The 15434-nt window shown below is 49.4% G+C and overlaps 1 long non-coding RNA gene and 1 pseudogene across 1 annotated transcript; both read right to left on the minus strand.

Annotated features, from left to right (window-relative positions):
• Positions 1–3238: 3238 nt before the first annotated feature.
• Positions 3239–5238, minus strand: LINC00417 (long intergenic non-protein coding RNA 417). The gene is made up of 3 exons (NR_047508.1): positions 5112–5238; positions 4132–4242; positions 3239–3542 (listed from the first exon to the last, which is right to left on the minus strand). It is a non-coding gene; the product is annotated as a long intergenic non-protein coding RNA 417 (long non-coding RNA).
• On the minus strand, positions 7051–7840 carry CYP4F34P (cytochrome P450 family 4 subfamily F member 34, pseudogene; annotated as a pseudogene).

The raw sequence follows: 15434 nt of genomic DNA on the forward strand, positions 1-15434 counted from the left end.
CTTATTGGGCATGAATGAGCACATAGCAGGACTGAAGCACTGTAAATGTTAACAGTTGTTGCAATTATCGTTGTCTTATCTCTCAATTAGAACCCAAATTCATAATTTTATAGTTTTTCTTTTCTTAAAAAATGGTATAAAATGACAGATATCTGTCTTAGCCCCCTTTCTGCTCTGCCACCTTAATGTTGCTATGTAGTAGCTTTGTTACAATTCACTTACATACCCATGGTTTTATTTTCAATGTGAAGCCCTCTTTGAGATCCATTCAATTTAGATTTAGAATTCGTATGCTCCAGGATACCCTTTTTTTGTCAGTTTGTTTTAATTGGTCACAATTTGCCTGCATTATGGTCACATTATGTGGCTTTACTGGTACCGATTTGGGGTGCCTATTATGACTTTCATTATGGTCTAATGTGGCCAATTCTGTCCATTTCCCTGCTATATCCATTATTCTCATCTTCTTCACTAAGGGAGCATAGATTTATCTTTTACAAGGAGCACAGTTTATATGTCTTTATTTATTTATCCTTATTTTATTATTTAATTTATAATTTGTTTTTGAAAAATGCTGTCTCCCAGGCTGGAGTGCAGTGGCATGAGCATAGCTCACTGCAGCCTCCTGGGTTCCTGTGACCTCCCAGCTCAGACTCCTGAGTAGGTAGAACTGCAGGCATAACAGGTGTGCACCACCACACCCAGATTTTGTTTTGTTTTGTTTTTGTAGAGACTGGGTTTCGTTATGCTGCCAGGACTGGTTTCAAGTTCCTGTGCTCAGGTGATTCTCCCACCTTGGCCTCCCAAATTGCCAGAATTACAGGCATGAGCCACCATGCCTGGCCCTGATTAATGTCTTTAAATGAGTTTCCCAGTTTTTCTCATAACTGCAGTGAGCAGAGCTTATAGTCTTGGTCAATGTGAAATGCAGAATTCACTGGTTTGGATTTCTGAAAATCTGTTTGGAAAGGGAAGAGTTATTGTTCCTCTTTTCCCTTAATCATGTTCCCTTTGCTCTCGCTGCTTGCTGCTCTCTGGAAATAGGATGAAATGCCCTGAGTCCAGTTTAGCACCTTGAAGACCATTGGAATGATGGTCCCAACAACACAATCTTCAATATACAAGATTTCTCACTCCCCAGTGGCATGCTGGGTATCCATGGCTGCCCTGGACTATTTCTGGACTTGTTTCATAAAACTAACCCTTAGCAGAACTAAGAAACAATTTTAGGAGAGATACTTATAATAAATTAAATGATAAACCTAAAAATGAATAAAACATATTATAAAAATAAAGAGAATAGACAAAATGGGCTTGCAGATGCTGACTGGCCACACATCCTTGGTGCTCACCCCCGTGGATGCCTCACCAACTGTGACACTTGGAGAGCTGGCAGCCATCACTCAAGAAATCAGAACACAGTGGCCTCTACTGCACCATCAGCGAACAAAAACTAAGCCTGTCGGCTCTCAAGAAACATACTTATGTGTATGTATATATATATGAAATAAATTTATTCAGTTACTTTGAGATATCTCATTGCTAAACAGATAAAATGAATTAAAACTAGTGCAAATTTCTGGCAACAGTACTTCATCTCCCCATTATGTATCCAGGGCATTGAAAATTGGCACACATCACAGATCCTTAAGTCATTCTCTGAATCAGGAGGAGAAAAGAGGAGAACAGAGAGAGCTTACCATATGTGCCAGTCACTGGGCTGAGTGCTGTGACTAAAGGACCCCACTTGATGCTTGAAATAACCCTACAAGATCAAACTAAAAACTCATACACACTCACACACACACACTCACACACACACACATGCTCAAGCACACGCTAGAAACTACAGAACAAAGAAAACATTGACAACTAATAGAAGTATAGTGCTGGCTAAGCACAGTGGCTCATGCTTGTAATCTCAGCACTTTAGGCCAGGAGTTCAAGACAAGCCTGGGCAACATAGCAAGACACCATCTCTACAAAACATTTTCTTAGATAAAAATCATTTTTAAAAAGTGGTATAATGCCTAAGGGCTCAGGGAAACAGTACCCCTATGGCTGTATGGTAAGCAGCAGGCAAGGCTACTTGTCAGACCAAAGTGGTAGTGATTCCAGGGTTCCTTTGCACACTTATCCAGGAGCCTGGCTAGCTCAGCACTGCCTGGGTTTACTTTATACCTTCTACAGCTCTAAAGCTCTGGCAGGTGGGACCTAACCATAAGAGAAATTGCTATTACGCAGGAATCTCTTAACTGCAAGTGACTGAAACCTACTCGATCCAGGAGAACATTGAATTACTTGACTCTAATTACTAAAAATATCCTTAAGTATATGGGCTTCTGGCTCAGTGAGATCAGGGGTGAACTAATATCAGCCAAGACTCATTCTGTCCCTTCATTTCCTGTGTCAGCTCTGCTTTTCATGCAAGCTATTTTGAGAGAACAGCAAAAATGGCCCCATAAATTCCACATCATTTACTTCCTTGCAAATAGCTATGCCAATAAAAAGAAAGCACCCCATTCCCAGCAGTTTCATCAAAAGTGCAGGGATGACTTCCATCAGCCCAGCTTGGATCACATGCCCATCCCTGAGTTAATTACCCTGCGGATTGCCCAGGGTGGCCAGCCTCTCCCCAATCACATGGACTAGTATTGAAAGAGTGGTCCTCACATGAAAAAAAAATGGAAGAATAGTGGCAGAGAAATATGGGAGGGAGGGCCTCATCTCTATATAAAAAGTATGAGCATATTTGTGTTCTTTTGTACACTCATTGATGTAGTCACTGGGAAAATAATTGAGAAAAACCCACACACGACTTTCTACATGCCTCTGTGCTCTGTATTCAACACTGAGCTGTGAGAACTGTAATTATTAAAACAAAACTTTGAAGAGAAGTAACAATTTGGGACAATGGGGACCCTTAGCTGACATGACACCAGTGAGCAGTTCTTCTTTTGTGTGCATGAAGATGCAATTCCCAGGAGCCCACCTGGGGTCTTCTAGGACAAGCATGTGGGCACCTACTGGCTGCAGTTCCACCTTTCCTTCCCTGGACTCTCAGGGAGAAATAAGTTCTGGATTCAGCTGAACTGAGTTCAAGTTCAGGCTCTGTGACTCACTGGGTAAGTCTCTTGCTCTCCTTGAGTCCCATATCCTCATTGGTAAAATGGAGAGGTAGAGTTATTGTTAGGTTTGGAAGGCAAGGCGAGGGTTAAAGAAAGACAGAAAGAGATAGTTGGTGGCTTCAACAGCAACATCTTTATTGCCAGCAAAACCCTGGGGAGGAGGAAACCAGCTTAGTGCCAGCACCAATTGCCGCTCACAGGCTGGGGTAATCATGGGACTGGGAGGGAGGGATCTGGGTGGTAGAGCTTGCTGCCCAGCAGGATATGGCAAGGATGTCCCTGCAGTCAGGCTGTTGGGCCTTTGCCCAGGAAGATGCGATAAGGATGTTTCTGCAGTCACGTGGTTAGGAAGGATGTTTCTCATGGCCCAAGTTCCCATGGAACGTTTCACTGTGATCAGAGTCTGCAAAATGGCTGGAGGTTTACAAAATGGTACAGGTTAGACTAACAGTAACATCTCCCAGGTAAACAGTTCTACAAAGTAAACTTCCCTTGAGCATCTACACTGTACCAGACATGGTGCTACGACCCAGGCCACAGGAGGAACAGGACAGATGAGGCCCCTGCCATCCTGGTGCTCACGTCTGACGAAGGAAGCTAACAGGTCATAAGACCAGGTCAGATGGTGGTGATAATCAAAGACATTACCAGAGTGAGATGAGCTAGAAAGAAACCGAAGGAGCTCTTACAAACACAGTGACAGGTGGAGACCCCTCCGAAAGGTGACTTTTGAGCAGAAACCTGAGAAATGTGGAGGGGGCTATGGAGAACGACCAGCCCCTGAAGCAACCCCAGGATTGGGAGGGCAAACCCAGCACCAGGAGGGCAATGGAATGGCCTGACCTGTGCGTCCTTCGTGCTTCCTTCTTCAGTGATGCACAAACAGAAACATGGGGCAATTTCGTGAAGGGTCCATGGATGAATCAAGAAGCAGCCGCACTGCAGAGCTGGAGTGCAGATAAAATCTGACCCAACAGTAAAGCTAGAAGCAGGTGCTGCTTACCACTGACCACAGTGCAGGTCATGAAGCATAACCAGACCATGAAGGCACGTCCAGGGCCAGACCAGCTGGCTGGGCTGCCAACATCTTAGTAGAGATCCCAGATCAGTTGAGCTGGTTAGGGGGAGAAAAAAAAAAACAGGAAAGCTTCAGAAAATTCCAGAGGACCCATGACACTTAACATCAACTCCCCCCAAGTGGGATCTGTTTGTCATTGCTGGTTCTAAAGAGTTGGTCCCACCACCCCCACCTGCCCATTGCCTAACCAGGGGAAAACTCAGGGTGGGGTCCACAGAAACAATCCCTGTGGAAGGGGAAAGGGTGTTTCTCATCCAAAACCAAGGGAAAACACCACTCATAAGGAGCAGAGGAGCCTGAAGGGAGAGACAGGATTCTGCTGCTCATTTGGATATCTGTTTCCCAGCAGGAAAGGGGACCACGCAGGATACAAGGGCTAAGTGGACCCTGTGCTGTGGGGCTAGGAGGGATGGTGCTGACTCATTGTTGGAGGTGAGTCACTATAGGAGGCTTAGAACCCCTCCCTGCAGCCTCTCCAGTCTAATAAGGGAATGGTAGTGTGGTCAGTGGGGGCATCCAGAGGCAGTCAAAGGGCACAGTGAGTGATGTCTCCTCTGGCCTCCTCTTTCAGCTGCAGATTCTCCGAGTTACTGGAACAGCTTCTTCATGGCCCCACCAGCCTGGAGGGTGGTGACAGCTCCCAGATGACGCTAACCCCAGGGCCCTGCGCCATCCCCCCTGGTTCCCCTTGGCCCTGCCCACACCTTTGTAAACAGCTTTTTCTTAATGACCCTTCAGCCACTTCGAGGTCCCTGCCAGTACCTGACTGCCACATTCCCCAAAGGGAACAGGTTCCTCAGCACAGGAGCTGAGGTTTCTACAGGCACAGAGAAAACACTGTCCCAACTGTTGGAATGGAGTAGGGAGTGGAAAAAAGAACGTTTTTTCTCAATGCTTAGACTCACCAATTGTTTCATTTTATCACATGAAGGCTGTGTGGCATTTTGAAGTAGAATTAATAATCTACATAATTACAAATTATATTCTTAAAAGAAGGTGCTCAGTGCCATGCCTGACACATGGTGGAACTCCACGATGAGAGGTGTGAGAAGCCAGGGTGCCATGGTTACAGACAAGGACTGCAGGTACAGACTGCTTGCTTCAAACCTGGACCAGCGGTGTGAATTTTGGCAACTCTCTGTATTGCTCTTTGCCACAGTTTTTTAATCTAACAACTAGAAGCAAAAACAAGGTTATTGTAAAAATTAAATGAATTAAAGTAAGCAGAGTGCCTACAACACCCCCAGGCACACGGTCAGCACTGAGCATGTTTTTCATTATACTCTTAATGAGGTAAGAGTGAGAACACAGGTTCCAGCCATGAGCCTGGGGTTTCTCTGGCAGAAGCATCAGACACTCTACTTTTAACATCCTCCATTCATTCATTTGACCCTGATAAGGGAGGAGTCTCATGAGATAGGAACAAGCATCCACCTTGGGGCCAGACTTCCCATGGTCAAAGTTGAACTCCACCACTGTTCAGCTGGGTGACTTTGGGCAAGTGACTTCCCCTCTCTGATCCTCATATTCCCTTTTGATAAAAACAGCACAATGGCAGGCCTACGGGGATTGAAGGAGCTGACAGAAAAATGTGTGCCTTAGTATAAATTTCCTGGAAGTAGATCCTGAGGCAAATATTCAAATACAAAAATTCTATTTGGAGATAACTCTAGGATAGTAATTCGACTGCCAGTTCTTCCTTAGGATGCAAATCCCAGGAAACACCAGTAGAGGAGTGGGGAACTGAGACAGGAAAGGAATGCAGCAGTTAAAGGGACCTTCATCAAGAAAGTTTCCCCTGTGTCAGCCAGGACTCAGCCCTGCCAGGTACATCTGCAGAGACAGCACAGAACATGTGCCTCAGAGTCATCCCACCCAAAGCAAGGGAGCTGGGGTATTTATCCACCAATACCCACCAGTCACTCCTCAGGGATCCTTCCAAGGGCATGATTCCTCCAGAATGTCCTGCCTGAGCTGCAAGGGTCAGACCCAGGGTTGAGGACAGGGCCCCTGACAGTGCCTCCAGCAATAAGCAGGAACACAGCCTGGTGTGGAGAGTTTCAGTCAGTGATTCCAACTCATACACATACCCACACACCACACTCCAACCCCAACAATGTGTGTATGTACACACATATACATGCATACATGACTGTTAGCCACTTTGATCCTGGTGACTCCATGGGATATACAGTAAGGCAGAAATCAGAGGGAAAAGCAGAATTAAGGGGAGTGAAAATCTTAAGAACAAAATGCAAATTTAGGCAGAAAATCAAGCGGGAAGAGGAGTGGTCTGGACACCAAATGCCGGCTGGGGGGCACCTGCTCTACACACACTGTCACTAATTATCCAAGAAGCCTAGTGGGGTAGAAGAAATTCCTCTCAATTTACAGACGACAGAAATGTAGTTCAGAAAACTGACTTTACTAATGTCTCAGCAAGCTAGTGGGTGGTAGATATGGACTCCCAGATCTTTCTGCCCACAGAGCCTATAAATTCTCCCTTGTTAGGCAGGCTGCATACCAGGCCCTGCTTCTGGGCTCTGTTCCTTTTGCTGCTAGGCAGTCATGGCAGAATTGACAGAAATGTTATCCCCCTTCACCACCTGGAGCAGAGCCAATGAGAGGAGCTGGGGAACAGGCCATGAGGCCCTGTACCCACCATTCAATGTCTTCAGGATTGCGGTCCCTCAGAACTCTTGCACCACATGATGGCATCACTCCTGGGTGTCTTCTGAGGTTGCATAGGATTCAGTAGAGGCCAGTGGCTGTGCTGTCATATCCTAAGAGGCAGCCACGCAGTCTTGGGTCTCTTGGCTGCTTCAGCACCAGAGGTTGGACAGCGCCCATGCACTGAGGCCCTCAGGAGAATGGGAGGAGGGAAAGGAAGGGCAGAATGGAGTGATGTAGTGTCCATCCACCATGTCCCTGGATGGAGAGACCCACACCGGGACCACCACTGGTACTCATGAAGATGTCAGCCTCCATTTATATGTCCTCATCTGACAACTCCTTCCCATTTTCATCCTGGAGACAAGACCTCTGAACACATTAGCTCTGAGGGCACCTGAGTGTAACCTGAGACAGTCCCTGAAGACTTTTCATCCAAGCAGAATCCCTCCCTTGCCATCTCCAGACCTGCCCCACAAGCTCCCTCCCGGGTCTCCTGGCTCTTGTTCACTCCTTCCAGGCAGCCTTCTACAGTCATCTCTAAAACATATCTGACTGTCCCTCCTTTATCCAGCACCTTCCATGGCTCCCCAGAGCCCTCCAGATCAAGTTCAAGTTCTTTGATCAGACATTTGATCTCAAGCTGCATTCTACCTCCCAAATTAAGATACCCGAGAAGCCACCTTGCCCAGCATAAGTGCATCACTGAAGTCTTAAGTCTTGAACGTGGCCTTGGCCTTGAGGAAGTCATGAACACCCTGGCTAGTGAGGGTGCAGTGCTGCTCCAGGATGATGGTGTCTAAAGTTGTGCACCAGGTCACAGGCCCTGCAGAAGCATCACCGTCAGGAATGGGTAGTACAGGAAGTCCATGCACAGGCAGATCTGCTGGTGCCATTACACTATGAGGGCACTGAGCTCAAATAGGGTGGCAATATATTCACTGGGATTCCTGCAAGGTGAGGCTGGGGAGAGGAAGCAGCTCCATAACACATATGAAACCCTGGAAACACTTTTTAGCCAAAATCTCAAGACCACATTACACCCAGAAATGGGTGCCCTCTGAGCACACTTGTCTCTCTGTCTCCCACTCTGAGCTCCCTCATGGCCCCACATGCCCCAGCCTGGCCCAGAGCTTGAAGCCCATTAAGAGTTCAGTCCATGGTGTTGACTGCTCCCTGGGAAAGGATAGAGCTTGGTGGCTCTGGGACTCCTCCTGTGGAACCCCTGCATCTGCCTTGGGACCTCCCAATTCCCATGGGAAGCCCCCATGGCTCTGGATTGCCCCACCTGCCTGGGATCCTCCAGCCCCATAGGCCTTACTTGATGCCTTAGCCCTCCCAGAACATGACATGTTTCTCAGAATGTGGCTGATGTCCAGGGCCATCTGTGGATGTTTGCTGGGGACTTCTTGCTGATTTCCTTTATGGTCTGTAGGGGAGGGCCAAGAGGAGAAACCAGCCCAACCTCAGAATGGACCAAAGGCTCACTGCCCCAGTGGCAACCACCAAACAGTCAGCAGTGCTTCTGAAAGGAAAGAAGGTTTCATTCTGCAGAAAGCTCCTTGTTTGGCTTCTTTCTGATGCCAGGGAGGGGTACCAATCCCTGCATACCTGTGGTGCCTACGTTACCATCTCTGCCTAGGATGTGCAATGGGCCCCTGCTCCCACTGCAGGGTTGACGTTCCCTCCAGCTGGAGACCTGGGCTCCTGACAACGCCTGGCCTCTTTGTCCTGCTCTGGATGAGGGTGGAAAGGGTGTACCTGGTATTTCCCTAGGTCCTTGCTTTCCACCTTCTAAACATCCAGCAGGAGTGACCATGCCCAGCACCACATCTGAAGTGGGACTCCCTTGTGGAGCAGCCAAGAAATCTACAGATGGAAGAATGCTCTGGTGAGATAGGCCACAGGGGTCCCTGGGGAGGATCTGGGGCCGGAGGATCTGGGGCCAGAGGATTCTGGAGGTTTCCGGCCTTGGGCTCTGTGGAACTATGATCTGGAGCTATTTTTTCATTTAGGTCACCAAGAGACAACCCCTAACCCCTGAGCAAGGCATGGTCCAAGCTCTGGCATGACATTCTCTTCCAGTAATGCAATGCTTGCAGAGACAGGTACAAAAGCTGGTGACCAGGCCTGCTGTCCCCCAGGTAAGGAGAGTGTGCTACCCACCCTCTGAGAGGTGGTGCCAGGCCACAGCACTGGGTGCCTGTACCCCTGGCTCTGCAGACACCGGTCATGGAGGTGCCATGGAGGTCCTCCCCTCTCCACATTACCTTCTTGCTGCTCCTAGATTTCTTCTAGTCATTAAGCATGTTGAGCCATTTTTCTGTGCATCCGATCTGACATTTTTGCTCCCAGATGAAACATGACAAAGTAAGCTGAGCCACCAGGATTCCTGGAGGGAACCTTGGATGCTTGGTCTTGGGCTCCAGGGCACTGATGGGAAGGAGCCGGGGAAGGACAAACACTGGGGCTGAGCCCCTGTGACCCAATGGCAACTTGTGGCCGTCCTTATGGCCCCAAGACACCCTGTCCTCAGGCCACAGACACCATGGGCTTTGGTCAGGTCCCAGCCTCCCAGTAGTGTCCCGGCACTGACCCCTGAGCCACAACCACAGTTCTGGGTTTGGGGTTTGGTAAAACCACCCCAGGGACAGAGTTCTGGGGCCGGGTTTGGGAGGAACCAAGGCGCCTCCCAGGGATGGTGTGTCACTCCTACTTGCCATGAAATGTGCACACAGGCTGTCCTCCTGCCCATCCTATCCTGCTGGACAGGATGGAGAAAGTGAGGGAACAGGCAGCGTGGACAGCTGGGGTGCAGGGAGAGGCAGGTGCATGCTGGGAGGTCAGGCCCTGTGAGGGCTGTGGGGGCATCAGGTGGAGTGGGCTCCAGGTGCACCCTCAGTGCAACGGGCAGATCTCAGGCCAGGCTTCCTGGACCCCGGCTGGGTGATGTGGTCACTCCCTGGGGGACTACTGTCAGACCCTGGCCACCCACCCTGGGCAGCACTGTCCCATCCCAGGGCTGGATTTTCTGAGTCCTCAGACAGGACAGCACTGCCCAGGCCTGACAGACTGGGAAGACCTCTTAAGTCCTCCATCCCTAGACCAGCCTCCCAACAGCAGGGACAGTCTCCTACCCTTACCTTCAGGGCACTGAGTGATCCATCTCACTCTAAGGCAACCAAGGCAGAGCTGAGGACCTGTGCCAGGCTGGAAGCCAGTCCCCTCCCTAAATAGGCCTTAGGGAAGCCTCATCCCTGTCCCAGTGCACTGCAAGTTTCAGCCCAGGAGACACATAGGGAAGGGATGATGGGGCCTCCCCACTGGCTGACCTTGGAAAAGCGGGACCTGGGAGAAGAGGGAGTGCAGGGCTGGCAGGGGATTCTCCAGGCCCATGGAGAGCTCAGGCTGCACCATGGGGCTGCCCCTCCTGGGCTGGAGGCTGTGCCCTCTGCAGGATCTGAGGAAGTGCAGTCCTGAGATGGGACGGTGCTACCCAGGTTGGGTGGCCAGTGCCTGACAATAGTCCCCCAGCAAATGACCACATCACCCAGCCAGGGTCCAGGGAGCCTGGGCCAAGACCTGCCCAGTGCACTGAGGGTGCACCTGGTGCCCAGTCCACCTGATGCCCCCACAGCCCTCACAGGGTCTGACCTCCCAGCATGCACATGCCTCTCCCTGAAACCCAGCTGCCCACCCTGCCTATTCCCTGGCCTCCTCCATCCTGTGCAGCCCATAGACTGTGACCATCTCTCTGGCCACTCTGGTACTTCCTTTACCTTTGTCCTGTCAGAATCTCTGAGCAAGATCTCCCAGGTCCATCCAAACACCTGCTTTGTCCACTTTTGACTGGGCCATTGAACACCACTGGGCCATCCCAGCTGTCCACAGGGCCCTCGATAACATGCATTTCTCCTGACATCTCCCTGTAGTGCTCAGCACCCCCACTGAACAGGTCCCTGCTGACCAGATCCAGCATATCAGATCCTCCCTGACCACACCCTCACTGACTAGACCCCCATCACGAGGCCTCACTGACTAGATTCCCGCTGACAGGCCCACAATGACCAGGACTCCACTGATGAGGACCTTACTGACAAGGCCTCACTGGTAAGGCCTCACTGGCCAGGTCATTACTGACAAGGCCTCACTGATCAGGTTCCACCGATCATGACCCCATTGCCTGGTCCCACAGATGAAGCCCCACTGACCAGGCCTCCAGGGAATAGGCTGCCAGTGACCAGGCCCCTGCTAACCAGGTCTGAGGTGACCAGATGCCCCTGACCGGGACTCTAATGAGTATGCCACACTGAACAGGCACGCACTGCTCAGATCCCCGCTGACCAGGTCACCCCGTAGACCAGTGCTACAAAAGCCACCACTGATCAAGTCCTCTCTGACCAGGCCCCCACTGATTAGGTTCCACTGAGCAGCCTGCCCTCACCAGGGCCCCACTGACAAGCGCCTCTGCTGACTAGGTCCCATGTGACCAGGCCTCCACTGAATAGCACCCCTTGACCTGGTCACCAGTAACCCAGCCCAATCAGACAAGGCCACAACTAAGCCCCAGCTGACAAGGTCTCCACTGACCAAGTCCCACAGCCCAGGTTGGCATTGACCAGACACCAAACATTTGTCTGCCACTAGGAACCCACTCACCAAGACCTGCACTACTAGATCCCTCTAATGAGACCCTCTCTAAGCAGACCCCTGCTGACCACCCCCCACTAAATAGGCCTCACTGACCAAGTCCCGACTGACTAGGTCCACTGAGCAGGCCCACACTGATCAGGCCCCTCCTGACCATATCAGAAGGCCAAGCGGCAATGAGATGTTTCACATGGCAGGAGTAGGAGCAAGACAGAGAGAGGAAAGAGGTGTGACATCCTGTTAGACAAGCAGATCACATAAGAACTCACTATCAGGACATCAGCATCAAGACTAACCAATGGTGAAGGATTCTCCACTCACACCACCGCCCACTGTTTTCAGGCAGAAGCCTCCTGCAGAAGCAGAACCTCTTAGGAAACTTCCACTATGGCAGTGCAGAAGGAAAATATAGGCTTTGAGCCCCGACACAGGAGGCCACCATCCTCCAGACTCCAGGTTCATAAGCCCACCAACAGCTCACACCCTCAGTACAGAAAAGCTACAGGCACTCGACACCAACCCAGCCCATGAGAGCAGCCATGGGGGCTACACCCTGCAAAGCCACAGGTGCACTGTCCTAGTAGAGGTTTCCCATGAGCCTCTGCCTCTGCAGCAGGTTACTCCCACCCTCCCACCACCCTACTGATGACCTACTCCTCCCTACACTACCCCTCCTTTTCCTTCCACTCCAACCCCCTCCCATCCAAGATTAAATCACCTCCCACCTGGCCCACCTCCAACATTAAGGATGACACGTGAGTTTTATAGGGACACACAGCCAACCCATATTATTCTGACCCTGATACCCCAGAACCTCATGTCCTTCTCACAGAGCAAAACACAATTATGCCTTTTCAAAAGTTTCCAAAAGTCTTAACTCATTCCAAATGTAAAAATTTCAAAGTCTCATATGAGACAAGGTTACAATCCCTTCTTCCAATGAGTCCCTGAATTTAGAAGGGATTTCTTTTCCTTCAAGGTACAATAGGCATTGGGTAAGTTTTCTCAATCCAAAGGGAAGGAATTCCCCAGAAAAATAACACAAATGCAAGTCCAAACCCCAGCAGGACAGTATTCATTCAATCTCAGAGCTCTGTAATTATCAAGAGAACTCACTATCATGCAGACAGCATTAAGGAGACAGTGTTTAACCATTTATGAAGAATCCAACCCCCACACTCATCTTTCACCCCCACCCACAAAACAATCTCCCCATTCTCCCCACAACCCTACCTCCAACACCCACTCTTCTCCATGATTAAATCACCTCCCACCAGGCCCCACCTTTAACATTCACCATCACAATTCCATGAGAGTATTGGTAGGGACAAAAAGTCAAATCATATTATTCTGACTTGGGTCCCCCCCAATCTCATATCCTTGTCACACTACAAAATACAGTGATGCCTTATGTACAGTCCCCCAAAGTCTTAACTCATTCCAGCATTTACTGAAATGTCCAAAGCCCAAAGTCTCATCTGAGACAAGGCTGCAGTCCCTTCTGCTCATGAACCTCTGAAATACAAAGCAAGTTAACCGTTTCCAAGGTGCAATGATTGTACAGGCATTGGGTAAGCATTCCCAGCCAAAAGGAAAAAATTTGCGAGAAAGAAGCACAAAACACAGATGGGACTTACAGACCCCATGCAAGTCAAAAACCCAGCAGGCCAGTCATTGAATTCTACAGCTCCCAAATCATCTTTTCTGAATCTGTATCCGACATCTGGAGTACAGGGGTGGATGGCTGGGATCCCAAGGCCTTGGACAGCTCAGCATCTGTAGCTGTGCAGGGTCTGTCCCCCACAGGTGCCCTCATGGGCTGGGCTGGTGTTGAGTGCCTGTGGCTTTTCCACACTGAGGGTGCCAGCAGTTGGTGGGACTATGAATCTAGGGTCTGGAAAATGGTGCATGCCGGTGTGGGGGCTCCAACCCTATATGTTCCTTCTGTACTGCCCTAGTAAAAGTTTCCCATGAGGCTCTGCCTCTTGGAAAAGCTTCTGCCTCAACACAAAGGTTTTGCCGTACATACTCTGGTGTCTAGACAAAGGCTCCCAAGCCTCTAGTTTTGTGCTCTGTGCACCTGCTGGCTTAGTACTATGTGGAAACCACCAAGGCTTGAAGCTTGCACCCCTGAAGCACTGATGCAAGCTGTACCTGTGCATCTTTCAGCCATGGCTGGAGCTGGAGCTGGAGCTGCAGGGATACAGGCAGCAGTGTCCTGAGGACGGACACAGCAGCACGACCATGGGAATCACCCAGGAAAGCATTCTTCGGTCCTAGAACTCGGGGCCTGTGACAGCAAGCTCTGCTGCAAAGGTCTCTGAAATGGCTTCAAGGCCTTTTAAACATTGTCTTACCTATTAGCACTGGGCTCCATTTCATGCAAATTTCTGAAGCCTTCTTGAATTTTCCCACTGAAAATCAGCTTTGCTTTTTGACCACTTGGCCAGGCTGCAAATTTTCCAAACTTTTAAGCCCTGCTTCTCATTTAAATATAAGTTTCAACTTGAGGTCATTTATTCAGTCACACAGAAGACCACAGGCTGTTCAAAACAGACAAGACACCTCTTGAGCTTTGCTGCCTACTTCATTTCACCAGATATACCCTAAATCATAGCCCTCAAGTTCAAAGTTTCAGAGGTCTCCAGGGCAGGGACACCATCCAGCAAAGTTCTTTGCTAAGGCAAAACAAAAGTAAACTTGACTCCTGTTCTCAGTAAGTTGTTCATTTTCATCTGAGACCTTCTAAGCCTGGCCTTCACTGTCCATCCTTCAGTCACTCCTTTAATTGTAGATATGTAACAAGTCTCTATGGTCACCCTTTTAATTTAACACGTCTCTAAAATAGTCCAAATTTTCCCTCATCTTTCTGTCTTCTTCCAAGCCCTCCAAACTGCAGCGTCTTGTTACCCACTTCTGAACCTGCTTCTACATTTTCAGCTACCGTTGTGGCAGCCTGGCAATGTGGTAAAAGAAGAAAAGTCCATTTTCAGGGAGAAAATTCAAGAAGCCTTCAGATATTTGCATATAAAATAAGCCAAATGCTAATAGTAAAAAAAAAAAAAGAGGAAAAAACCTTGAGGGCATTTCATGGCTCCATTCTACAGTACAAATTTTCTGTAATATTATTTTTAAAAGAGGTTTAATTGGCTCATGTTTCTGCAGGCTGTAAGGCAGCAAGTGGCTTCTGCTTCTGGGAGGACTCAGGAAGCCTCCCAATCATACCAGAAGGCCAAGTGACAATGAGATGTTCCATATGGCAGGAGTAGGAAGAAGACACAGAGAGGAAAGAGGTGCCACACTCGGTTATACAACCAGATCTCATGAGAACTCACTATCAGGAGATCAGCATCAGGAAGATTAACCAATGGGGAAGGATCGGCCCATACCGCCCCCCACTGTTTCAGGCAGAAGCCTCCTGCAGAGGCAGAACCTCTTGGAGAACCTCTACCAGTGCAGTGCAGAAGGAAAATATGGGCTTGGAGCCCCCACACAGGAGGCCACCATCCTGCAGACTGCAGATTCACAGACCCACCAACAGCTTGCACTCTCTGCGTGGAAAAGCTACAGGCACTCCACACCAGCCCAGCCCATGAGAGCAGCCATGGGGGCTACACCCTGCAAAGCTACAGGTGCACTGCCCTAGTACAGATTTTCCATGAGCCTCTGCCTCTGCAGCAGGCTACTCCCCCTTCCTGCTACCCACCACCCTCTCACCACCCTACTAACAACCTACTCCTCACCCTACCCACCCCTTTTCCTTCCACCCCCGGCCCCCTCCCATCCATGATTAAATCACCTCCAGCCAAGCCCCACTTCCAACATTAAGGATTACAATTCACATGAGTTTTGGTAAAGAAACACAACCAAATCATATTATTCTGACCCTGATCCCCACAGTCTCATGT

This window comes from Homo sapiens, chromosome 13 (genome assembly GCF_000001405.40).
Source record: "Homo sapiens chromosome 13, GRCh38.p14 Primary Assembly".
NCBI lineage: Eukaryota > Metazoa > Chordata > Mammalia > Primates > Hominidae > Homo > Homo sapiens.